The sequence below is a fragment of the Homo sapiens genome, chromosome 17 (genome assembly GCF_000001405.40).
Source record: "Homo sapiens chromosome 17, GRCh38.p14 Primary Assembly".
Lineage (NCBI taxonomy): Eukaryota > Metazoa > Chordata > Mammalia > Primates > Hominidae > Homo > Homo sapiens.
In genome coordinates this window covers 6,155,630-6,182,604 of record NC_000017.11, presented here as the reverse complement: position 1 = coordinate 6,182,604, position 26,975 = coordinate 6,155,630, and the positions used below count along the sequence as shown (strand labels likewise).

General features: G+C 48.6%; 1 long non-coding RNA gene across 1 annotated transcript in view; it reads left to right on the top strand.

Annotated features, from left to right (window-relative positions):
• Positions 1-26,975, top strand: part of LOC105371508 (uncharacterized) — a 40,615-nt gene that overhangs the window by 7,943 nt on the left and 5,697 nt on the right. The window contains exon 3 of the long non-coding RNA XR_934185.3: positions 15,607-15,690. This is a non-coding gene — a long non-coding RNA (uncharacterized LOC105371508). The remainder of the gene's footprint in view (positions 1-15,606; positions 15,691-26,975) is intronic.

Genomic DNA, 26,975 nt, shown 5'->3' with positions numbered 1-26,975 from the left:
GGATATTGGCCTGTAGTTTTTTATTTTTTTTTGTTGTGTCTTTGCCAGCTTTTGGTAGCAGGGCGATGCTGATTTTGTAGAATGAGTTAGAGCACAGTCCCTCCTCCTCGATTTTTTGGATAGTTTTAGTAGAATTGGTACCAGCTCTTCTTTGTATGTCTGGTAGAATTTGGCTATTCCATCTGGTCTGGGTGTTTTTTGTTTTGTTTTGTTTTGTTTTTTTGGTTGGTAGGTTTTTTATTATTGATTCAGTCTCAGAACTCAATATTGGTCTCTTCAGCGTTTCAGTTTCTCCTGATTCAGTCTTGGGAGGTTGTGTGCTTCCAGGAATTTTTCCGTATCCTCTAAATTTTCTAGTTTGTGCTCTTAGAGATGTTAATAGTAGTCTCTGAGGAGTCTTTGTCTTGCTGTGGGATCAGCTGTAATGTTACCTTTGTCATTTCTGATTGTGCTTATTGGGTTCTTCTCTCTTTTTTTTTTCTTTGTTAATCTAGCTAGTGGACCATCGATCTTGTTTATGCTTTTAAGTTTAGTTCAGCCATTGTGGAAAGCAGTTTGGAGATGTCTCAAGTAACTTAAAACAGAACTACCATTTCACTCAGCAATCCCATGACTGGGTGTATCTCCAAAAGAAAATAAATCATTCTACCAAAAAGACACATGCACTTGTATGTTCATTGCAGCACTATTCACAATAGCAGAGACATGGAATCATCCTAGATGCCCATCAAGAGTGGATTGGATAAAGAAAATGTAGTCCATGTACACTATGGAGTACTATGCAGTCATAAAAAAGAACAAAGTTATGTTCTTTGCAGCAACATGAATGCCGCAGGAGGCCATTATGCCAAGTGAATTAATACAGGAACAAAAACCCAACTACTGCATGCTCTCACTTATAAGTAGGAGCTAAACGTTGGGCACTCATGGAAAGATGCTCTCAATAGAAACTGGGGACTACTAGAGGGGGCAGGGAGGGAGAGGGACAAGGATTAAAAAACCACTTATTGGGTGCAATGCTCACTCTCTGGGTGCTGGGATCATTTGTATCCCAAACCTCAACATCATGCAATATACTCATGTAACAAACCTGCAAGTGTATCCCCCAAATCTAAAATAAAAGTTGAAATTATAAAATAAAATAAAGTATCTCTATAGACAAAATAAAAATAAAGTTATCAGGTGAAAAAAAAAGCCCTGAAGGCCAGGCACGGTGGCTCATACCTGTAATCCCAGCACTTTGGGAGGCTGAGGTGGGCGGATCTTGAGGTCAGGGGTTCGAGACCAGCCTGACCAACATGGTGAAACTCCGACCCTACTAAAAATACAAAAATTAGCCAGGCGTGGTGGCGTGTGCCTTTAATCCCAGCTACTTGGGAGGCTGAGGCAGGAGAGTCACTTGAACCCAGGACGCGGAGGTTGTGGTGAGCCGAGATCGTGCCACTGCACTCCAGCCTGGGCAACAGAGCGAGGCTCCGTCTCAAAAACAAAAATAAAAATAAAAATAAAAATAAATAAAAATTTTAAAAAAGCCTTGTAGCGGCAAGAGACGTGGTTTCATTCTATTTTATGGCTGAATAGAATTCCATTGTCTGTATGTACCACATTTTTTAATCTAATCATGTTCTGACTTTTAAATGACTGCAAAATAATGTGTACACGAGGACACAGAGTGTGGAATAATAGACATTGGAAACTTGGAAGGGTAGGAGAATGGGGGTGAGGGAAGATAAATTACTTAAAAGGTACAATGCATGTTATTCAGGTGATGGGTACACTACAAGCCCAGACTTCACCACTACACAATAAATCCATGTAACAAATTTGTATTAATACTTGTACTCCTTAAAGGTATACAAATAATAATTTAAAAAGTACCGTATCTGATATTTTGACCTTCATTGGCAAGACTTTCTTTGTCTCTTCATCAACCTATCACGTATAGTTGAATAATAATCATGGAAATTCAAACCAAATAAGATTTGCCCTTTTACTTGTCCCAATGGCTAACATTTTAAAGTGAAAATACTCATTGCTGGTGAGATTGCAGAGAGTTGGGCATCTCATTTGTTTTTGTTAGGGGCAAAAATTGGCACAAATATTTTGAAGTACAATTCAGAAATGTGAGTCAGAAGCCTTAATAGGTTCATAATCAATAATTTCAAGATTTGGATAATAAAGTAATCTGAGATGCAAAGAAAGACTTACGTACAAAGATTAATTTCAGCATTGTGAATATGAGCAAATCTTGAGAAGAGAAACTTAAAGGCTTATCAGTAAGAAAAAAGTAAAGCCAGCCACATTCCCATGAATTAGTAGGTACCCTTCAAAACGATACTTTCAATGAGCATTTAATGACAGAAGAAAATGATTCTTTTTTTTTTTTTTTTTTGAGATGGAGTCTCATTCTGTTGCCCAGGCTGAAGTGCAGTGGCACGATCTCGGCTCACTGCAATCTCCACCTCCCAGGTTCAAGCAATTCTCCTGCGTCAGCCTCCCGAGTAGCTGGGACTACAGACGTGTGCCACCACACCTGGCTGATGTTTCGTATTTTTAGTTGAGATGGGGTTTCCCAGGTTAGCCAGGATGGTGGTCTCGATCTCCTGATCTCGTGATCCGCCTGCCTTGGCCTCCCAAAGTGCTGGGATTACAGGCGTGAGCCACCGTGCCCAGCCCTGGCAGAAAATGATTCTAATATGATACAAAGTGAAAAGAGCAGAAGAGAACATTCTTGAGCATATGATGCTGACTGTGAACATGTGGAAGAGAAAAGACTGGGTTGATTCTGTGTGACAGTTACAAGCCCTTCTTGATTTATTTTTTTGTTTTCTACAGCCCACATATTTCTATTGTAAACATGCCTATTCTACCCACCCCACTCCCCCAGTTACTCAGGAAAAAGGAGACCCATGTGCCATCCTCTTTCTGGGAATCTGTGATGTCACCAAAGGATCTTTGCTGGAGTATGGAGTGAGTTGCATGATGTTTTCTGCAAGAGGAGTCTTCCCTAGTCTTTCAAAACAGGTTGCTGACTTCCTGATGTTCTGGGGGTGTGTGTCCAAAGGGGCAGCCTTGCTGAGGAAGCACCCCCTCAGAATGTTCTTTCGCCGACCTCTCATCCTGTGGTTTCTCCCGGGATCTCTCACCAGGTCTTTCTCTCTGTCCCCCATGAGGACTTTTGGAAGGTGTTGTTCTCTTGCGTGGGCATTACACTCCTGATGCTCCTGATTGTGCTGTTGCAGCGCAGGCTTCCTTTCAGTGTTTGACCAGCAGATACACCCACACAGATGTGCACGCAGAACCTCAGCATTGCCCTTTATGAATATGCAGAGTTGTATAGCTGCCCTGCCACTGGGTCTGGCAGTGGGTCCTCGTCACTAAGGAAGTGACCCTGGCTTTTTGCTTTGCATGAATAACAGGAAGGGGCCTCAGAAGAGGGGATGAAGTGGCCATTCTGAGCAGCACCATCTACGTCAGCAGAAACTGGAAGGCCGAGACCCATGGAGAAGCTGGGAGGAGTTGCCAGAGAGAGGAAAATTCCAAACCCTGCCCATCTTATCTGTGAGGACCAGCCCCTGAGTCTGTTTCTGCTTGCTGCTAGAGGCTGGGCACTGGGCCTAGGAGGTCTGGGAAGACACAGTGAAGGGAAGGTGCTTTGGGAGAGAGAGAGCCGTGATGAGGGCCAGGTCTTACCAAGGATGCTGTGCTTGGTGGGCATGACCTAGTGTGGCCTTTCAAACAGAAGGAACACATCTCTCGTTTGAGATGGTATCTTTTGCTTTCCCCATATCCTTAAAGTAGAAGAGTTAACTCATGTGGTCTGTGCTGACAGGGAGTTGCCCAGACTCTAAACAGATCCTAAGTCATTAGCAGCTGGGTGAATGGAAATGAGGACTTGGGGAGAGGGGTATGCACCCCTGGCTGCCCCAGCAGTGGGGAGAGGTGTGCCAAGTCATTACACTGAATTGTGGTACAGGTCAGGGGTCCAAGCACAGGCTGTGGACTCTGTTAGAGGCTCAGTCTAAGGCTGATATCAGCTTTAGCCTTTGGCTAGGCCAGCCCTGTGTCTGTAGAGGAGGTAGTGGCTTAATCTAAGGCCATTACCGCCCTCTATCAGTGACTGAGGCCTGCAGCTGACATCAGGGCCTATTGGGTGGCCAGGTTAGAGTCAATGTTCTTCCTCTTATTCTAAAAGACTCAATTGGCTCAGTAGGAGAGGCACAAGCATTATCTGCTGGACTCTGCCTTGGTGTCACCCCTGAGAATGTGCCTAAGGAAAAGGACAATTCTAAGAAGCCGAGGACTCAGAAACCAAACTTCCCATACATCAGTGCCCCAGTTGCCACTGCCCTTCCTGCCTTCCCATCCCCCAGTCCAGCCTTGCTAGCACCACCTCATCTCCCGACCCACACCTGTGAGCCCAGGCTGGTGTGTGATGGCAGAATCCAGTGAGGGGGTGTCAGATGCTCACCCCGGGGAAGCTCACAATCTGACTGGGCAGGTTTGGGACCTGTGGGAACAAGAGCAGTTCCATACACCATGGCCCTGATTAGGAGCCTCCTGTGCTCTGAGGAGGGGCAGCTCCAGATAGCTGGGGCAGCCAGGGGGGACTTCCTGGAGGAGGTGACGTTGGCACTGACTGGTAAAACTCTGGCAGGCAGTAAGGCCAGAACCCAGTCCTATCAAGAGACATATAAAAACCTGGCACTACCAAAAGCCTTTTCTAGATGTTACTTGACTTCAGGCACAATATTTTGATAGTTTCCACATAGGATGAATCTGAAACATATGCATTAACTTCTCCTTAAAGATATACACTTGTTTCAGTTAGCAAGATGTAACATGGGGTTTGATGAAAGTACAGTAACTGAAGAACTGTGTGGGATCCAAGACTGGGAGGTCTCAGAAGCTACAGTGTCACTGTGTGGGATCCAAGACTGGGAGGTCTCAGAGGTTAGAGTGTCACTGTGTGGAATCCAAGACTGGGAAGTCTCAGAGGCTAGAGTGTCACTGTGTGGAATCCAAGACTGGGAGGTCTCAGAGGCTAGAGTGTCTTGCTGTCTGTACCTGGAAGCCGCTTCTCCAGTTCACACACAGCAGGGACCTGAGACAGCATTACCTGCCCCAGGTGCTCTTCTGAAGATGTTCTAGCACCCAAAAGCTCAAGTCCAAAGTCAGGCTGGATTTTAATGTGTTTCTTCTACTACAGAGGATGCAGACACAAGCTGGGTCTACCCTCACTAAGGAGCTCATGGCTTGGAAAAGACAGTGAAGCTCTGATCCTCTAAATTTGTTTGGTCATGTTTATTCTCATCAAACCTCCCCTTCTTCCCTTGAGTCTTTCTGATGCAGGTGGTCCTTACATCCCACACTGAGATAGTCTAGCTACACTTCTATTAATCCGCACTACAAAGAGAGATTTTTGTGAGGATTAAGGTTTGGTATTGCTTAACCACAGACCTGAGATGAATCCAGACACCCCTTTCACAACTGGTATGTCACCTGCCTTACTTTGGCATGGAAATGGCCCTTTGAGGTGGTGCCCTCAGATCTCCATCACTGAATGAGGGTTCTTCCTGTGGACAGGGTGATGTGGAAGAAAACGGCCACTCTTGCAAGCATGTGTTTGGATGAGCAATTTTTCAGAACACAAATGCCACCAAAGTTTGTTGACAAAGTGAATCCTGAGGTGTGAGGTGGAAGGATATCTCACTGCATTAGTTGCCTACTATATAAAAAAAGTTACACCAAAGTTAATGGCTTAAAACAACAATCAGACTTTATGATCTACCATGGTTTCTACGGGTCGAGGTTTGGGAAGAGCTTGGGTGTGCAGTTCCGGCTCAGGGTCTCTGCAGGGCTGCCGTCATCTGGAGGCTTGACTGGAGCCAGAGGCCCTGCCTTCGATGGAACTCACTCACATGGTTGGCAAGTCGGTGCTTTGCTGTGATCTAAATGTTCGTATCTCCCCCGAATTCATACGTTGAAATCCCGGTCCTCAAGGATTAGGGTTAGGAAATCCTAACCCTCACTGACTGGACTCGGCCCCAGCAGCAGCTTGCACAGCCCTATCAGTCTCAGCCACTGGCTGGTGGTGCCAGGAGTGTCCAGAAATCCTCCACACAACCCGAGGTTCAGCGCGGGGATACTGAGACCCGTCACCTCAGGGTGATTTTTTTAGAAGGTGGAGCCTTTGAGAGGTGATTCAGGAGGGCTTCACCTTATGAATGGGATTAATGCTCTCATAAAAGAGGCCAGAAAGCGACTCCTCTTCCCTTCTGGTGTGTGAAGTTACATTGAAAAGATGGTCGTCTGTGAACAAGGAAGTGGACCCTGGCCAGACATTGTACCTGCTGGGGCTTTGATCTTGGACTTCCAGCCTTCAGAACTGTGAGAAATACATTTCTGGGTTTTTTTTTTTTTTTTTTTTTTTTTTTTGATGGAGTTTCACTCTTTGTTGCCCAGGCTACAGTGCAGTGGGACGATCTCGGCTCACTGCAACCTCTACCTCCTGGATTCAAACGATTCTCCTGTCTCAGCCTCCTGAGTAGCTGGGACTACAGGCGCACGCCACCACGCCCAGCTAATTTTTGTATTTTTAGTAGAGACCGGGTTTCACCTTATTGGTCAGGCTGGTCTCAAACTCCTGACCTCAGGTGCTCCACCCACGTCAGCCTCCCAAAGTGCTGGGATTACAGGTGTGAGCCACCGCGCCCGGCCAAATTTCTGTTGTTTATAAGCTGCCCAGTCCATGGTATTTTGTGATAGCCACCTGAGCGGATGGAGACAGTGCTGGGTGTTGGCAGGGGGCTTCTGTTGCTTTCCACGCAAGCAATGCCACAGGGCTACTAGAGTGTCCTCATGATATGGTGAGGTGCAGGTGTACCCAACAGCTCCGAAGAGACAGCGACCATCGAGAACGGGCCATGATGACGATGGCGGTTTTGTCGAAAAGAAAAGGGGGAAATGTGGGGAAAAGCAAGAGAGATCAGATTGTCACTGTGTCTGTGTCCCCCAGAGGGAGTGATTCAAAGGAGGGAGATGGAAGCAGTAGTGTCTTTTATGACCTAGGCTTGGAAGCCACATATCATTACTTTTTCCATGTTCTATTGGCCACCTAGGCCAATCTGGTGTGATGTGAGAGGGAACTGCACAAGCCACGAAACCAGGCAGTGAGGAAACCATTGCAGAGGCTAGAGGTTCCATTACCAAGTAACTCACACGCATCCAATCCAGCTGGACATCCCGTGGTGGCAGTAAACTACTCTGTTCAAGTCACCTGCAGAGATTTCCCACTCAGAGAGGGCCCGCTGGGAGTGGTCTTCCACCCTGAGACCACCCCACAATTTATAACATGTCACATTACAGTCATTAGTCACTGAGTCACTAAGGGAATGCCCAAATGCTTGGTGAGATGTGAATGATACTTGAGCACCGAGGAGAAAAAAGGCAGAGAAGGGTGATGGGTTAATAGGGGTAATAGTGATGAATTAGGAGCCAGAAGACCTGGGTCCTACTCAGTAAGCCAGTGGGCACTGCCTGTGTGCCAGTGAGAAGAACACTCTCAGTTAGCAGAGGTCTAGGGGGATGCTGAAGTGGGTGGTTCTGGAGTTAGATAACTGGTCACCTGCTCGCCAACGGACTGACTGTCTCTGAGCTCTGCCTCTTTATATGGACAGATTGCCTGATGCGCACCGGTGATCAGTGAGTGCTAGCTACTATTATTGGAGGGTTATTATGCCTACAATAACCCAGCTCTCAGCTCAGGCCCTGTGCCATGTGTATTCCAGAAATTATCTTACTAACTGTCCCAGCACCTCTCAGGATTCAACTTCCATTCCCACCATCATTGCCCATGGGCACACCGTGGCTGCCACAGCCACAGGCACAGGGACATGGGCCAATTCACATCTTTCAGAATGTGGGTATAGATGCAGGTGAGTCGGAAGATTTGTGGAGAGAGAGGGGATGATCCAGGCTTGTCTGGTTGCTTCTCTTTTCTCTGTGAATTCAAAAGCAAGGTTGTCAGCCCAGAGAGGGCCTGAGAATTTGTGCTGGGCCAAGATCAGAGGCAAAGGGAATCCCTTTGTCTGGGGTGTTATTTCTGCACAAAGAACCTCTAGGGCGAGGCCCAGGCCAACAGCTTCATTAATGCCACATTGGAAAAGTCCTCCAAGCATCCCGCCTTTTGGAGCTGGGCCTGCAAAGCGCTTAGAATAGCACCTGGTTTGCTGTGGTTGCTGCTGCCGTGGCGGCTGTAGCGGCTCTCACCCCGACCACTCCTCTTTGCTTCCTTCAGCCAGGAGATGGGGATACTGTGGGGTGTAGCACACAGGCCACGTCCAGCAGGTCTGCAGCAATGGCAATGAGACTCTGCTGGGAGTCACTGACCGAACTCGGCACCAGCAGCATCCTGGACAACCCGATCAGAGTCTCATCTGCAGGCTGATGGTGCCAGGAGTGTCCAGTAGTCCTTCATACAACCTGAGGTTCAGCACGGGGATACTGAGACACAGTGAGAAAAAGAGACTCGTCCTATATACCACAAAGAGCCTGGAAGAATTGAGGCTAAAACCCAGAGCACCTGACTCCCCTGACTGGGGCTCTTTCTACTACTCTTCATTGCCTTTTCTTCTATGCATATATCCAGGCTGTCTTTGTGGAGCTCCCCTGACATTTAGCTTCTGCTTTGATTGATATCTTATCTGTGGGCATGCTGGTCTGGGCCCCAGCAGCCTCCATAGAAGTTTGAGCCGTAACATTCCTTGAAGATATAATACAAGTTAAGAACCAGGCTTGTGTTAAGTGTGGGATATTACCAGTGAATGAGGCACGTTCAGCCTCTATCCCAGAGAACCCCAAAGAGCAGTATGTGAGGCAGACAGTGTTAGACAAGGCCAAAAAAACAAGTGAATTGCAATACCCAAAAATGAGGGCAGTAGCAGGAGCATGGATGAGGCATGGTGAGAGCCCCGTGGGGTGGGTGAGGACACTGTCCTTGGAGAATCTGTGAAGTCTTGCCCAGGAGGTGACCCCTGAGTCATCAGTGAAGGAGAGATCAACCTTGTTAGATGTGTGGCCTCGCTTTGAATGCATGACTTAAGTCCACAGTGCCTCAGTTTCCCTGGCTATAAAACAGGGAATAAGAACAGCATCCTCCTCACAGTGTTATTCTAAGGATTAAAAACACCTATGACATGCTAAGCAGGGGACTGGCACATAGTAAACGCTCAGCGAGTTCTGATTGTTGATGCTACTGTTATCACAGAGGCCCCTAGTGGTCCACCACCAGGGGATCTTTTCAGAAGCCAAGGGAAGGGCTAGGGCAGACAGCACTGGGCATATTGAAGAGAAAGGGAACTCAAGAAGCCTGAAATATGAAGCCAGGATCAGTGGAGGCAAAATCCATTCTCAGTAGAGGCAGAATCCATCTCATTATCATAGCTGGCCAGAGAACTGGGTCCCTCCTAGAGTGGTGAGCTCCCCGTGACTGAAGGTGTGCAAGTAGATGATGAGGAGTTACTTGGTAGAGATGTGGAATGTGCGTGTGAGTGCAGGAATGTATTCGTGTGTATTTGGGCGGGGGGGTGATTTTCTTCCCCAGAAATTGTGGCTTTTCTTCCCCTGAATCTCACTGCAATTCAGGGCCCTTCCATTCATGAGGATCTATTGTTCTATTTCTAAATCCCTGAGATCCAGCACCAAAGGGCCAGGTTAAGCTGGGCTTCTGACTTTATCGCAGGCTCACACAATAGCCATGCTCCTGCCAGCTTCACTGGGGAGGGGGGACTGAAAACCTTTGTGGGTAATCCACAGCTTTAGCTGACTGAGGGGCAGGTATTAATTAAAGTGCAGATTAACTGTCGGTCATGGGTATCAGCACCGGGACTTAGAATTGCTTAATACGAGAGTTTGTTACACTGTTTTGCCGTGAGAAGGCAATATTGATCAGGAATCCCTGGCCTGGAACTAATTGAATATTCACCTCCAAATTGCAATGGCTGATTATGTAGAAGGTCATCTCTTTTATTTTTACTTGGGAAATTGCAGAGAGGTTGGCACACAGTGAAAGAGGAGAAGAAGCCGAAGAGGGAGGGAGAGGAGAGAGAGAGAGAGAGAGGTAGCAGGGGAGAAAAAGAATGAGAATGAGATAGGGAATTATTATTTTCTTTTTTGGCCTGAGAAATCAGATATGACAAGCCGGATAACATCTTCATCTTGAAACAACTTCTTATCCCTTGGAGAGGAGCTTCCTTGTTGTCCAAGTTAACCAGGAAGTGTTTGCAGTACTGTAATTTTAATGAAGGAAGCTTTCAGTATGTTAATCGTGGGAATACACGAATATGAATTCATTACTCTCTGAGCCGTCTCCCGCCACATGGTAGTGTGAGGAACTATGATAACATGCTTGTAACGGTGTTTTTGGACTCCTGCAGCTTCTGAGAAAGGGTAGGATCCTGGAAATGTCTGCAGGAGCTGAAACAGGAGGAAATGGGTCTCCGCGGGGGGTCTCAGGGCTCTAGAGTCCTGAGCTGTCTCAAGGTGGCCGAAACTGGACCCTGAAGTGTCTAGAAGGGTGGTGTTCCCCTTCTGCTGACTTCTGACTGCAAGCCAATGGCCTGCCCGCCTTCCTACCTCTAGCACAGACACAGATGGGTGCACACACCCAGACTTTGGTGCACACACATCTTACGTCCTGGCTGACGGTCAGAGAGTGAGGAAAGTGATGGCGAACACACAAACCAGGGTGACTCAGGCTGCAGAAAAACTGTTCCAATTGCCCCGTGGTGAGGACTGCAAACTCCATCCCATTTGAGAGTGGGCTCCAAAGCTGGGCATGAAGTCAACATCAACTGGTGGAGACGGGTGAAGATATTCCAAGGAAAAGGTGCACAGTCAAAGGCACAAGAAACAATGTGCTGTGTTCCAAAGACATCAAGGATCTTGATGGAGTGAAGGTGGGTGTGGCTCAGCGTGGGGCTGGGGCCTGGACCGCAAAGAGCCTCAACGTTTAGACTTTGCCCTGAGCGCCATGAGGAATCACTGGAGGTTTTGCTGCAGGGGAGTGATGGGGCAAGGTTATAGGAAGACCATGGATTTGGAGGTTGAGGAAGGAGTTGGAAGGAGACTCAAGCTAGGAGACCACTGAGGAGGTAATTACAATATCCAGGGGCAAGCTGACGAAGATCCGAACCAGAGAAGTGACTTGGGGTGGGGAGAGGAGGGCTGTTGTTGGAAGAAGGAGTGGCTTTGATTGGGTGGGAGGATACGAGGATGAGAGAAGCCCAGGATGACATCAGTGACTTAATAAGTGAGTGGATGATGGCACTGGTGAGATGGGAACACAGGATCAGATGCATATTTGGGGAGAAAATGGAACATGAAGTCTTGGCTGTGCCAAGTCCTAGAACTTAAGAGGTGCCCAGGGCAGCTGGATCTACAGGCCTGGTATTTAGGGGACAGACACAGGTATGGGGGTCATAGAGACAGATTTAGCAATTGAGGCCAAGTGAGAGGAAGCTATATGATGAGCCAGGGGAGTGTGAGAGTGGGAAGCCCAACCCCGAAAAAACAGCACCCCTTAAGGCAAATAAAAAGCACCCAGGGACTGAGGAGCCACCATCCACTATCTAGGCCATATCCCAAGGAGTGAGCTTAATGAAAGGCAACTCACTAATAGTAGCCAGCATTCACTGATCACCAGTACACATCAGGTAACCTGTCCATACAATGGAGGACAACTGAGGCAAGGGGAGGAGGAGAGCATAGGGGGCAGCATCACATGGGGCAGCCGGCTGGGGAAGGCCTGTCTGAGCAAGGAAGTTTGAGCTGAGACCCAAAAGAATGGAACAAGTTAGCCACGGGGCTGTTTGGAGAAAGCAGATGCCAAAAAGAAGTGGCACTGAGTACAAAGGACCTGGCAGGTGCCTGCTTGTTGAGTTGATGAACAGTGAGAAGCCCAGTGCAGTGAAGTGGAGGGGGAGGTTCTGTATTTGTCTATTTGGCATCTGGTATGGTTTGGCTGTGTCCCAACCCAAATCTCACCTTGAATTGTAGCTCCCACAACTCCCACGTGTCATGGGAGGGACCCAGTGGGAGGTAACTGAATCATGGGGGCGGGTCTTTCCTGTGCTGTTCTCGTGTTGGTGAATAACTCTCATGAGATCTGATGGTCTTACAAAGAAGAATTCCCCTGCACAAGCTCTCACTTCACCTGCTGCCATCCATGTAAGAGGTGACTTGCTCCTCCTTGCCTTCCACCATGATTGTGAGGCCTCCCCAGCCAGGTGGAACTGTGAGTCCGTTAAACCTCTTTCCTTCACAAATTACCCAGTCTTGGGTATGTCTATATTAGCAGCATGAGAACAGACTAATACAGCATCCATTCATCACAGGGCTGATTTAACTACATTTTCCTATTTTCTGTATCGATGCTCTGGCATTTGGGGATCTTACAGGCCCAAGAAGATATTTCCCTTCTAAGGGCTATCCAACTCTTAGAGAAAGCAAAGGACACAGCTGGGAGCATGTCTTTCATCTACAAACCAACGAATCCAGAGTCTGAGCCCCCAGCCATCACCTTACCTACCCGCACACACAGGGTCAGACTTCCCTTGTCCTAAATCATCCAAAGGCCAGGTCCTGGGCAACTCGGGAACTCCCTTGAGCCCAGAGCCTGAGAGAATTATTCAAACTAGCCAGCTTGAAGCGACTTACCTGGCCCTGCCTTGTTTTTCCCAGGGAAACCCTAGTCACGGCTGTGACCCATGCCTTCCCTTGCTCCTGCTTTTGCCTCCTGACCAGCGCTGGTTCTTGCCCCTGTAGCCCTGTGTGGCACGCTGTGCCTTGGGAATTGGGAGGAACATTAAACCTTTCTCCCAGTGGAGTCGAACTCTCCATGTCATCCCTCGGTCACCGGGCCCTTTTAATTATTTGGAAGGAAAGCATCGGCGATTGCTCTTCTGCAAAGGGACAAATAGCCCCAAGAGGAAAAGGGGGTGAATAGTGGCCTCCTGGCTGGAGTGGGGCACAGGTGGGGACAGAGGAACTCAGAGGAAGAGCAGAACAGACACAGGCATCCACGATTCCTGGCACAGGCATTCCGGTGTCTGGGCTGGCATCCCGGGGCTGGATCCAAGGCCATGACCCAGGTAAGAAGGGGGCTTCTGTATGCACAAGGGGGGCCAAGTTGAGGGCCATGGGACTTACGTTTCTGATTCTTCCCTGTGTTTGGGCCAAGGCAACTCCAACAGGGCTCTGCTCCTGCCAGTCACATAGACTGGGGGAAGCCCGGGTAGAACAGGGAATTCTAATGAGTTTGTCTGGGAGAATGCTGAGTCTGGGCTTGGCAGAGAGGCCCTGCTCCCAGAGAGTGCCACCTGCACCCAGAAACACTTCTGGGGTCAAGGTGAGGAATGTTCTCAGCTGGGACAGTTTAGGGCAGGTGGACACAGTGTGCCTCTGTGTCATCTAGAATGAGGACCCTCACTTGGGGGACAGATTAGAAAAAGCTGCAGACACAGCCTCTCAGGGGCAATGTTTGCCAAGGTGCTTTAGGGCAGAAACAACTGCATCCCCTCCTCCAACCAACTTGCAGCCCAGCTTGTTGAGCAGAATGGGCAGAGAAGGACAGCTGACCTCAGACCCCTACCCCCAGGGAGGTTTCCCACTCCTAAGAGCAGGAAATTGCCCCAGCCTAAGGGACAGGCAGACACTGAGTCCGTTTCAGAATAACAGAATCTGCCTCCGTCTCCAGAGCCCCTTGCTCCCTTTCCATGGGTTAACCACACAAGACCCACACTTCCAGCTGTTGAAGAATTGGTGAATGCCACTTGAGAAACTTCAGGCAGATTCTGGGAAATGCTCCCCATCCGTCAGCAAAAAGTGGACTGCTGGGGATACGCAGAGTCCAGTTAGCTGCCCCCCATCCCCCCTCCCCCAAAATGCCTTGGATGATAAATTCGACACCGGAAAAAATAAATAAATCTGTGGGTGTGTTTCCCCTCGAGGATCTGCCACGATAAAATTGTAATGAATGAGAATGTTTCTGGGTTATGTGTTGGAAAATTAGCACAGGCTTGCATTAATTGAAATTTAGTTCTTTATGTATATCAATTCCCTTTTATCCTTCTGGGATTCGCAGCAGTGAGAAAGACACTGAGCAACAGATTAATCCAAGTGTTGTCAGCGACAATGATAAATTGAGGTTTAAAAGCCTACATTGAGATAAATTACTATTAAAATCTAGGCCTCCCCTCTCCTGTTAAGTCTGTAGAACCAAGAATTTGTTAAAAATTCTTGGCCTTTCATTAAGCTCACTCCTCCTCCCCTTGCCTCAGTTGTCCTCCATCTCTTTACCACTTGGCTTGATTTTTTTTTTTTTTCTGAGATAGACTCTCACTCTCTCACCCAGGCTGGAGTGCGGTGGCGTGATCTCAGCTCACTGTAACCTCCTCTCCTGAGTAGCTGGGACACAGGTGTGTGCCACCATGCCCAGCTAATTTTTTGTATTTTTAGTAGAGACGGGGTTTCACCATGTTAGCCAGGATGGTCTTGATCTCCTGACCTCGTGACGCACCCGCCTCAGCCTCCGAAGTGTTGGGATTACGGGCATGAGCCACTGTGCCCGGCCGGTTTGATTTATTCATTGTTTATGTCTACTAGAAGTAGGGTGGGACAGGGCTGGGTTGAATCCCAGACCCTTTGAAAGTAACTGGCATATAGTAGGTGCTCAGAATATGTGTGTTGGATGAATTATAAAACGGCAGCTCAGCTTCAGGTTTCTTGCCTGCAAAATGGACATAGCAACACTCACATCTCAAGACTGTTGGGAGAATAAATGAGGCACAAAGTGGGAAGGCTGTCCCCACGGGTCCTCGGAAGACTAAGAGGGCAGATCCCACCCCCCTCACTGGCCCCTTCAGAGAACCAAGGCTTTGGTGTCTGGCTCTGGGGAGTGTGGCTCTGCCACTGTGAGTGCCTGCAGGCAGCTCGAGCCACGCGCTGCCAGCCATGATATTTCACAGGTGCTGCCTCTGTTTGCCTTAAACATTTCAGGGTGCAGCAGCAACACACCACGACGCAGGAACGCATAGTCTGCCATGTGAAGCCAAGCATGAGCTGGGGCTTCTGAACACATCCTTACGCGGAGACTGCAGTCATTAGTATAATTATTAGGGAGGTTAACGAGGCTGGGAACGGCACATTGAGCATACACTTAAACAGAACCTTTAAAAAAAAGTGGGTGGAAAAGTTTGCCTGCTCGGCTTTCTCCTTTTTTTAGAACTGGGATTTCAGGGTTTGAACTTAACATGTTGGAAAATGTACTTCCTACCTTCCCCCCAAACTTGCCCTGACTCTTAGTCTCCAGATGGCTGATAGTGGCATCCCCATACTAGGGTGAAACCCAGAGTTTCTGAGATTCTCTTGCCATCCATACCTGGCTGGTGACCAAGGCTGCTAATTCCACATCCTTAGTATTTCCCAACTTGGTCTGCTGTGCCCATCCACTGCCACCATCCCAGGCGAATCTGCATCTCCCTGGATGACAGCATTGCCTCCTAACTGCCTCCCAAGCCCATATCTTCCTGTTCGCCTTTTCCTTAGGCTGTGTTCTCCGGAAGCAGGTTCTGATATGAAGATTCCTGTGAAAGACATGCATTAGGAAACGTTCCCAGGATAAACCAGGAGGTGAGTGGAGAAGTGAGATTGGGAAGGGAAGGGGCCCAGGAATAGGAGCACACAGCCCACATAGGGGAACTCAGTTTAGTCTAACAGTAGACAGGGTCCATCATGCCTCAGAGCTGGCCCCACCAGGGTGAGGAAGCTGGAGTATTTATACCTGATGACCTCAAGTATGGGTTAGGCCATAGTTCTCAAACTGTGTGCCAAGGCAGATGCCGTGGCATATTTTAAGTCTTTAAGGGAAACACCGCAACAGCTGCCAGACACCACTCCTGAGACAGTTCACAGTTTCAACATCAGACTGCCCTGCATTTCCTTGGCTGATGTCACATCTTTGTGAAGCTGAGTGTTAAGCAGAAGCTGTGACAAAAAGGAAGTACTGAATGGAAATCAGAGTAGAGCAGGCAATGAGGGTGGTGGCATCCAATGTGATTCTGAGAACTGAAAAGTTGTGCAGTGCCCAACAGGCACACACATCCCATGAATAAGTAATTGTGTTTATTTATGAGTGAAATCAACACATTCCTTTCTGTTTTAATTTTTGGGTATCATATTTGTCAACAGCTGCTAAGTTGTTAGGCTATAAATACTAGTTAAGCTGTTTGCACCTTACTACATAATAAATGGAACTGTTAGGTTTGTTTTGTTTGTTTGTTTGTTTTTTAGCCTAGGAATGAGTGCTGTGAAAAATTACTGAGTCTCCAAGGGCTTCATGAACTGTGGAAGTTCTGGAACCTCTGGGTTAAGGGCTGCCCCTGGGTGGATGTAAATTTCCAAGCCCTCTGGCTCTTGGTGCTACAAGCAAAGGGGCCTCCAGCAGCCTGAGGACAGCCCTCTGGCAGAAAATCGCAGGCGTGGGCTGCTGGGAGTGAAGGTGCCCCAGGAGCCAGTGTGCAGGGGAAATGGCAAAGGCGAGGGTGGATATCGGCATCTGCTACGCTAGCGCTTCTGAAACTGCAACATGCACACAAATCACCTGGGGACCTTGTTCAATGCTGATTTAGGAGGGGCCTGAGAGTCTGCTTTTTTTTTTTTTTTTTTTTTGAGACAGAGTCTCCTTCTGTTGCCAGACTGGAGTTCAGTGGTGTGGCCTTGGCTCACTGCAACCTCCACCTCCCATGTTCAAGCAATTCTGCCTCAGCCTCCTGAGTAGCTAGGACTACAGGCACCCGCCACCAAGCCTGGCTAATTTTTTTGTGTATTTTTAGTAGAGGAAGGGTTTCACCATGTTGGCCAGGCTGGTCTCGAACTCCTGACCTCAAATGATCCACCCACCTTGGCTTCCCAAAGTGCTGGGATTACAGGCATGAGCCACTGCTCCCAGCCAAGAGTCTGCATTCTTAATATGTTGCCAGGTGATGCTCCTGTCACTAGTCTGTGGCTCCCACTTGAATTAGCCAGAGCTATATCCCTTGTTCTGCCTCCTGGGCCCACACATCCACTGGTTTCCCTCAATGGCTCTCCAGTCCAAGCCTGATGTGGGCTTTGTGGGGAAGCCCCAGACCCCGCCCCAGCTCTGAGCCCCACGCAGACTGAGCAATCCAGGTTCAGCCCTGCTTGCAGCCTGAGGAGACTGAGTAACAAGACCCCTGCCCGTAGTCAGCCAACCCCCTAATTACTCTGTTTTCTTCCAGAAGTCTAAGGGCTCTGGACTCTATGTGACAAGCATAGGTGAAACTGGGGAGACAAAAGGCACCACACAGCTGAACACTGAGTTTAGAATGCCCCGACAGTAAGCTGGCCTCCTGGGACCAGAAGCTGCTGGGCTGGGAAAGGCTTTGGACACGGGCTATAGCCCAGCCCCATTTTAGCAGTAGGGAAGTCGAGGCCTAGAGATGAGCCTCAGAGCTGAGACTGGAAGTCAGGGCCTCAGATCCTACACCCAGGACACTGGCTATTCCCTGTGACTGCCAAGTCCAGTTTAGGGTATCTTGAGCTCCAGACGTTGGAAGTAAACTGCCCCCAGATATTAATAGTGCTATTCCCCACTAATGTTCCAAGAGTTGAAGTTCACTGATAAGATCTTGGGGGTGCACTGCATGAAATATGGTGGGGAATGCTGTCCCAAAACGTGGAATCCATCCTGTCTTGGACGTTGGGGCACAGTCATGCCAGAAGCTGGAGATGAGTGAACAGTTTCATTGGCCCCGGGTGGACAGAGAGCAAGCATTGCTGCTGAATCTGGTTCCGATGGAGAGGAGTAGTTTCTCTCCTTGGCTCCCCACCCAGTCTTCAAAGGTCCACAGCTGTCGTCTTCCAGAGTAACTACCGCTGCAGCAAGTGCACCGAGCAAGCATCCTAGGCCCGATTTTCTCCTGAGGTCTGCTAAGTCTTCCAGGCTTCTTTATCCATGCTACCTACATCTTGAGACTTGAGCTCAGTGTGTCACTCACAGAGGGGACAGAGGAAGAGCTGTGGTGTGACTGACAGCGGGTTTTAGCATTGCAAGGATCTTAGTATGAACCTGGCTTCAGCTCTCCACTAGCTATGTCTACAAATGGTACCCTTACTCCCATTTCTTGACTCCTGGTGTCAGAATGATGCATTCATACCCTTTGCAATGCGACCTTACAAGATCTCTCAATAGAAGAGGTGAAATATCTTTCCCTCTCCCATAGATGTGGGTCTTGGCCAAGAAACTGTTCCATATTTGCATGTCTTGGCTTGGAATCTGGCTCTTCTGCCATCTGCCATGAGAGGAATGGAGTGGGTAACCACTGGTCCCAGGAGAATGAGATCCTTGAAACAGCCCAACCCACAGCCTGGAGCCCAGCCCATGAGAGCCACGGCTGTCAGTGGGAAGTAAGTGCTTGTTGCCATCTCCTCAGTCTGCAGACAGTGTGTGTTGCATAGCATTATTGCCACAATAGCTGACTAATGGACTGTGGGACCCTTGGCTAGTTACTTATGTTCATCTCTGTGAGATGCAGTTTCCTCATCTATAAAAAAATGAGCAATAACCCTTTACCTTGAAGCCCTAGTGTGATGGTTTAATGGGCTATGACATAAGTAAAGCACATGGCCTGGTGCCTGCTCCACAGAAGGCTCTCGATGAATGGTGGTTTTAAAAAGAGGGAAGAGTGATTCCATAAGAGCTTGATTTGACAAAAGGGTGTTGAGTGCCCACAGCGGCTGGCTCGGTGCCAGACACCATGCGGAATGGATTTAAAATCCAGTTCCTGTTACATGATTCATATTGGCCTCAGACAGGTCTTTGGGCAGAAATCCAGGCCAGATTGGGGGTGGGGCAGCAGGAGAGTCTGAAACCTCTTCTCCTAAATCTTGAGCCTCACTACTCGTAAATGAACCTGCATGTTCTCTTCCTGAGCATGAGTTGACTTTCATGTTTCTTGGCAACAAAAGCAACTTTACCCATCTCCTGTCCCTTCACCAAGAGAGCGTGGTGACATATCAATCAAAACACACTGTACCAGTAGCAATACAAGATGCATCTGTTGAAGGGGGTGGTGTTGGAAGTGCTCCCCAGGCCTCCCGGATGCTCCTCCTCCCTCCAGCTCCGCACCTCTTCTCCAGAGGCCAAGGCTCTGTTAGCAAGGTGATGTAGGATGTTGAGCCCTGCTCCTAGTAATTCCAGTCAATCCTATGTGTGGCTCACATCGTTCAATCACTTCTGCAAAAATGGGCAGAGGAGGGGTGCTCTCAAAATGGCCCAGGCCCCACTGGCTCTCTGCACCCTTGCCACGGTTGCCCTCCTAATGGCTGTGAGCAGAGTGTGTGGGAAGTCAGTTTCTGCTGGACTCCTGGGAGGTCTGGGTGGGCTGCCTGCCAGCCTCTGCGGCAACACAGCTGGGACAGGTGGGAGGGTGCTGAGAGAGTTGGAGCAGGGGTCGGAAGTGACAGGTGGGAGGGTGCTGAGAGAGTCGCAGCAGGGCCTGGGCAGTGACTGACTGAGGCGTGGGCATTAAAGGGATGTGCTCGCGGACTACGTGGGGGAAGAGGGGGAACTTGAGCGGGCCTCTGCATCACAGAGGGTATTGTCTTCCCCCAAAATTGCTTCCTCTGCTCCCTGTTCAGACTGGGAAGCTAATATATGCTCATTTTAGAAAATTCAAATAATACAAAAATATATAAAGAAAAAATTTTTGCCTTAAATTATATTTTAGGCAAAAAATTACCTAAAATATAATTACTCAGAAATGACCGCTGTTAACGTTTTGGTGAACACAATTCCAGACTGATTTTCTGTGTGTGTGTGTGGGGGTGGGTGGGTGTGGTATGCTGCTATTTACAACCCCAACAGCTCTCTAACGAGGGCAAGTTCTGTTTGGTGCAGAGCCGGTTGGAAGCTGACCCTGAGCCCCTCCACGGGTTTGGATACCTGCAAGAGTGGCCTATATCCAAATGTGGGGGTGAGGCAGAAAAAGAACTGAATTGCTCTGCTTCATAAAGTGAGAGGAGCTTGGTGCTCCCAGGGCCAATCAAGCGCTAGAGGGAGAGCAATAGAGCTGAAAATAGAAAGAAAAATAAAGGAGCAAAGCGCATCCCAGCAGGAGGCTGGGGCCCTGGGTATGGGAGTGGTCAGGGGACATTTGAAAAGCAGGGGCACCTGATTGAATTTCAAGTTGCTTGCTTTGTTGCTATGAAAAGCCTTCAATGGCCTTCCCCAAGCCTTCGAGAATGCTTCCAACACACACAGACCCAGTATGAGTGTTCTGGGGGGAGACATTAAGGAAAGGGCTGAATCTATATGTGGACAGTTGTGGTGTGGAAGGAAAATTGGAACACGAGACAGTCACACAATCCTGACCTTGAGCTAATTCAGCAGAATCGGGGAGGGGCGGGGGGCGGGGAGGGTAGCCAGGTGCTAGAGAATCCAGATGTGACCCTGCCTAGAAAATTCCTTCAGGAATTCCCAAACATATGGGGGTCAGGGGGCTCCCCAGTTTGTGGATGGGAGGTACAAGCCAACTTTTTCTAGATCTAAAACTACAGGCTGGCCCTAGACAGCTGGGCTATATATTTATGTTTATAGGTTTGATTTAAACGACATTTTATAGCACTTGCTTTTTAAATCTCTTTTTACTCAGTCCTGGGTCTTATGATCTAGGCTTGTCCGTAAGTATACGTCTCGCTCACTCTTCATGTCTACATGGTAAATTATTGGAAAGGAATTAGCAGTGTATACAGCCACTCCTCTCCTAATGGGCATTTAGGTGATTTCCAAAGCTTCTGTGATAACATCCTCCCTCTATTTATATCTTGACACATATGTTGAGGTGGTCACTTTAAAAACGGGTTTCAGTTTAGAATACAAAAAAATAACCATGCAAACATTACATTGCTGATCTTTCTTCATTCTACCGAGAATCAGTTGTTTGAAAGCAATGCCAGCGTGCCCCAACAAGCCCTTCAAGTTGCAGATGGTGGCGGTGATTTCAGTAAAAATTGCCTGATACACCAGGCTATTGATGACGCCACATCACACCCCACTCCTAGCCTGGGAGAGTTAAAGGAAGGCAGAACTCATCCTTCCCCTGACCTTGAAATTGGAACCGGGCCTGTTTGAGTCTTTTTTTTTTTTCCTTGAAAACGGAGTCTCGCTCTGTTGCTCAGGCTGGAGTGCAGTGGTGTGATCTCAGTTCACTGCAACCTCCGCCTCCCGGGTTCAAGCGATTCTCCTGCCTCAGGCTCCGACATAGCTGGAACTACAGGCACATGCCACCACACCCAGCTAATTTTTTGTATTTTAGTAGAGATGGGGTTTCACTGTGTTGCCCAGGCTGGTCTCGAACTCCTGAGCTCAGGCAATCTGCCCTTCTAGGCCTCCCAAAGTGTTAGGTTTACAGGCGTGAGCCACCGCACCCGGCCGCCTGTTTGAGTCTTTAACACACACTCACTTTACGACCATGACCTGTGACCCCCGCTACTGGGAAGAAGACAACGTCTACTGGAGAAAATGGATTTTGTGTCCCTGAGAAACTTAAGAATTCAGGCAGGACGATGCCATTTGGCTTCATTGTCAATGGCAGGCAGTATCAGAGCTGGAGGCTTCCTTAGGGATTATCTGGTCAGTTGTCTTCATTGTACAGATGGGGAAAACTGAGGCCCATAATCACTTACTTGGTAAAAATAAATAAATAAATAAAAGCCAACATTACTATTTGTATTTTAGATATTTTTGAGTCTAAAATGTAATAGCAACCTGGAGAGGTGGGTATCTTCCTATTCCCACTTTTCAGTAGAGGAAATAGAAGAGGAAGAGAGGAGACTTGAACTCTGGTGGTCTGGAGCCAGAGTGTGCACACTAAATCTCTGTAGAGCCACTGTCTCCTGAACAAAGATGGGTAGGGGATCCGGGGTCTCGGACTCAAAGTTCTCTGCTCTGTCCCTGTCGGGAGACAGCTCTTGGGAGGGAAGCTGACGTGTGGAGGGGCCCTTGGCCACACGTCTCTTTGTCCAAGTGTCTGTCTGTCACAGCTGTGAGCCTGAGGGGACATTCTAGGTGGACGCCGCAAATGAATAATTCAATAAAAGTGAATACTTTCCATGGCAACCCTGCCAGCACGTGACCTGCTCTGCTGCCTCCCAGGGCTGGGTTCACCCTCATAAAGGAACACATTTGTCAGACTACAGAGAGCGGACTGGGATAACATTTTCTCTCAAGGAAACGGAAATAAAACTAGGTCGGGTGATGGCACCAGGGCCAAGGCTGTTGCAGGAGCCTTGTTCAAACATCCTGTCGGCAGGTCGGGGATTTGTGGAAGGCCTAGCACACCTGCAGTGTTGGGAAAAGAACTGCCCTTTGCGGCAGGGGAGAGACAGAAAGCTCAGTCCCCGAGTATCCCTGAATGTGAAACCCTGCAGTATCCCACAGTGTACAAAGGACTCCCAGGCGCCAGGTTGCAGAACTCTTGTCATAGCTATTTGTGGTAAGTAAAGGACACTGGGGCCCAGAAAGTGCCCGTTGGAACTTAGCCTAAAGTGATGTCGCTGGTAAGTGAAAAAACTTGGACTCAGGCCCAAGCGAGGTGGTCTTTTTACTGCGTGGCCCTGACGGTCTCAATAAATCGGCCCACTGAGGCACATGATATGAGAGCTGAGCTGCCGAAGTGGGAGGGCTGAGCTATACCATTCATTTTAAATAAAGGTCCGTTTCTGGGCTGGATTAGGTTGAGGGAAAATCTGGGATTATCTGGGGCTCAGCCTGGGACAGGGGTTGGAACTGTCTGCAGTAAATGCACCTTTGGGGGCAGAGTTGAGGGATGAGGCTGACAGGAGCATTGGGCTAAGCCTGGGACGGGACTGAGACTCAAAGGTCAAGGTCAAGGCCAGGGTCGGGTTGGGCCTGGGACTGGTAGGGTCAGGCTCAGCCTGTCTAGGGCATCAGAATCTTCTCTATGTAGAACCTGCTGGAAGTGCCTGAATCACTTCGCTGTGGAGTGAGACAGGATGAAGGCCTGAAGGGCTCGCCAGGGAGACGTGCTACCAGGTGCGAGGGATAGAACAAGGACATGCTGGAGTCCTGGAGGGGGCTTCTGAGAGTCGGGGGAGAGCAGAAATACACTCCATACCCGGAACTGCAAGGCGGAGGTGGTCATAAGCTAAGATGGAGTCAGGAATAAGGGCGGCAGGAGCCGCATGGGAATGAGGACAGAAGTTCATATGAATGTATCCAAAGGGCTTCAAGAGACAGCGGTGCAAGGGCAGGTGAGAGACAGTCAGAAAGACCTGGTCTGGAGACCTCTTTAGACCTGAGCTTTACTCTGGTCCCACAGGGTCAGAGGGAAAGAACTTCAGAAGCCATTGCCCTGAGCTTCCCATCTCTGAGGCTAGGAGCACTTACCTCTCCCGCACTTGCACTCACTGAGCTCAATTCCTTTTGGGGTTCCCCAAACCTTCCCCACTCACTCAACCCCACACCCCAGCACCACCTAGATCCCCGATGCTGCCCACGATGCCCGTTCTACTAGTTCTGCTCTTCTCAATGAAGCACCCACTCCTCTCCAAAAGTCTTCATTTTATTCCTGGGGCTTCTCTCCTCTTTGCTAGACCTGTTGAAGCGTGGGTGTGTGGGACCCTGATCAGAGAATGAGGCAAACCTTCCCCTGTTCGCCTTGGCTCCTTATGAACTGCAAGGTAGCGGTGGAGTTTGTAGTTTCCTTTGAGTTTTGCAATGACCAGATCTGGATTTAGGGTTTGGTTCTGCCTCCCAAATGCTGCAGGGCTGTTGCCTTGGGGGACATTGATGCAAATTAAAAACAAAAAACAAAACAGGACATCAACACCTTTTCTTCAAGGTAAAAGAAAGTGGGGATGGGGTAAAACAATTTATTTATTTATTTATTTATTTAGAGACGGAGGTTTTGCTCTTTTCCCCCAGGTTGGAAGGCAATGGTGTGATCTCGGCTTACTGCAACCTCTGTCTCCCGGGTTCAAGTGATTCTCCTGTCTCAGCCTTCCGAATAGCTGGGATTACAGGCGTGTGCCACCATACCCGGCTACTTTTGTATTTTTTAGGAGAGACGAGGTTTCGCCATGTTGGCCACGCTGGTCTCAAACTCCTGACTTCAGGCGATCCACCATCCTTGGCCTCCCAAAGTGCTGGGAGTACAGGCGTGAGCCACCACGCCCAGCCGGGATAAAACAATTTAAAGCATACCCAGAAGCGCATTATGTGGCAGGGAAGGGGGAAGAGGGAGGCGGCCTCTCTGGTTGTGTCAGATAACTGACCACAGATGGCCCCACAAGATGCCCCCACCTGTGTAAAGGACAAGGAGGCAAGAGGAAGCGGGGGGCAGGGGGACAGGAGCAAGGGCCCTGGGACCTGGGGTTTCATTAGAAGCATCCCACTTAAATTCACATGAACCATGTTCCCTTAATTCAGACTTATTTTTGTACCTGTAGACAGAGCACAGGCACCTGTGTTGGACGCCTCTTTTGCACCCCTTTCAGGCCCTCTGGGCCTTACCTGTCTGTCCTTATTCCAGCCTCTGCTCTGATGGGCAGCTCCTTGGGGGCCCTGGCCGGCGGTGCAGCCTAGTGGCACCCACTGGTCTCATCTCCTCCTCCAGGTGGGAGACCCCCAGCATCCACTTGGGCACAATCCACAGCTGTGGGAGTATGGATGCCCCAGGGGGTGAACCTTTGACCAACAGGGGATAGGAGCCGTGGAAAGATACTTCCTCCTTCCCCACTGCCCACTCTTCCCCAGAGGCAGTTCTGAGATGGAAACATTTCATACAGCTTCTTGGTGGCCCCAGAGAATCAAGCAACCAGTCTCCCATAAGAGCGGCCAAGCAGAAAATGCATCCTTATCTTGGCTCTCCTCTCCCTCCCCTCTTCACTCCATGGTAGGCTGAATAATGGCCCCCAAACAGATCCAGGTCCTAACTCCTGATACTGTGATTGTTACCTACTGGCAAGGGGGGTTTCAGTCACATTTTGCAGATGCAATTGTATTAAGAATCTTGATGGAGAGATCATCCCAGCTTAGCTGGTAGGCTCTAAGTATAATCACAGGTGTCATAAGAGGAAGGCAGGGAAAATGCAATTACAGAAGAAGGCAATGTGAGGATGGAGTAAGATCCAGTGCCATTGACTTTGAAGATGCAGAAAGGGGCCACATACCAAGAAATGCAATTATAGGAATGCAGCTCCAGAAGCTGGAAATGGCAAGGAAGTGGATTCTCCCCCATAGTCTCCAGAGAGAGCAAGACCCTGCTGACACCTTGATTTCAACCCACTGCAACTCATTTGGCATGTGTGACCACCAGTAAACTGTAAAAGAACAAGTGTGTGTTTCTCTAAGCCACCAAGTTTCTAGTAATTTGTTACAGCAGCCACAGGAAGCTCATCCGGCTCCCCGTCCCTCACTTCTGCTCCCTAGGCTCACACTGTTTGTGAGATGCTCACACATAAGCTTCTCCTTTGGCTCTGCTGTTTGGGGAACTCAGGGTAAGATAGCATCTGATTAGGAATCAGGCCCCAGCTTTGTGTATACAGATAGCCCGGTTCTCTCAGGCCCCCACTGACACCAACGTGCACCTGCCCTATCCTTCCCCAAAAGGCAATCGTAGCCAACTCCAAGTCTGGTATAGGATGTGAATGGGGCCACCAAGAGCTACAGCAATGAGAGAAGCAACCTCAGAAGATGACTGGGGCACAATAAGAACCTGGTACAACTACATGCCCGTGTGCATCAATGAGTGTGTGACTCCTGCACTCCTGAGTGGAAGCCTTATCATGGTGTCGGGGTGGGTTTATAAAGGACCAGTTGCTCTAGGACATGCCTCAGAGGCCTAGAAGCTCTGTGCTCACTGTGTGCTGTAATACAAATTAGTATTTTTCTACAATGTAAATGTCACCTTCTTAGGTGGCGTTTCCTCATGCAGTGCACAACCTGAACAACCATACAGGACACCCCTGATGAGATGCTTGGCCTTGGGCAAATTATCTTACTTCATTAAGCTTCTCTTTCTTCTATAAAATGGGAATAATCAGAACACTCCCCTCAGAGCGGTATCCTGAGGATTTGATAATTCACGTCGCCCTGGAATAAATGCTTAAGGAATAGTAATGGTGGGAGTGTAAAGTAGTTCAACCATTGTGGAAGACAGTGTGGCGATTCCTCAAGAACCAGAAATACCATTTGACCCAGCAATTCCATTACTGGGTAGATACCCAAAGGCTTATAAATCACTCTACTATAAAGACACATGCACACATATGTTTATTGCAGCACTGTTCACAATAGCAAAGACTTGGAACTAACCAAAATGCCCATCAATGATAGACTGGATGAAGAAAATGCGGCACATATACACCATGGAATACTACACAGCCATAAAAGGAGAATGAGTTCATGTCCTTTGCAGGCACATGGATGAAGCTGAAACCATCATTCTCAGCAAACTAACACAAGAACAGAAAACCAAACACCGCATGTTCTCACTCATAAAGGGGAGTTGAACAGTGAGAACACATGGATACAGGGAGGGGAATATCACACACTGGGTTCTGTTGTGGGGTGGGGGACTAGGGGAGGGATAGCATTAGGAGAAATACCTAATGTAGATGATGGGTTGATGGGTGCAGCAAATCACCATGGCACATGTATACCTATGTAACAAACCTGCACGTTCTGCATGTGTATCCCAGAACTTAAAGTATAATTTAAAAAGAAAGAAAGAAATAGTAATGGCCTGTTGCTGCTATTCCTATTATTTTCATAAAGGTGGTATAGGCACCTTCAGGGAACCATGCTTTTCAACATTACTGCCAAATGCCTGATCTCTTTGGTGAGATGTACTCCCTTAATATCAGCTGTTGGT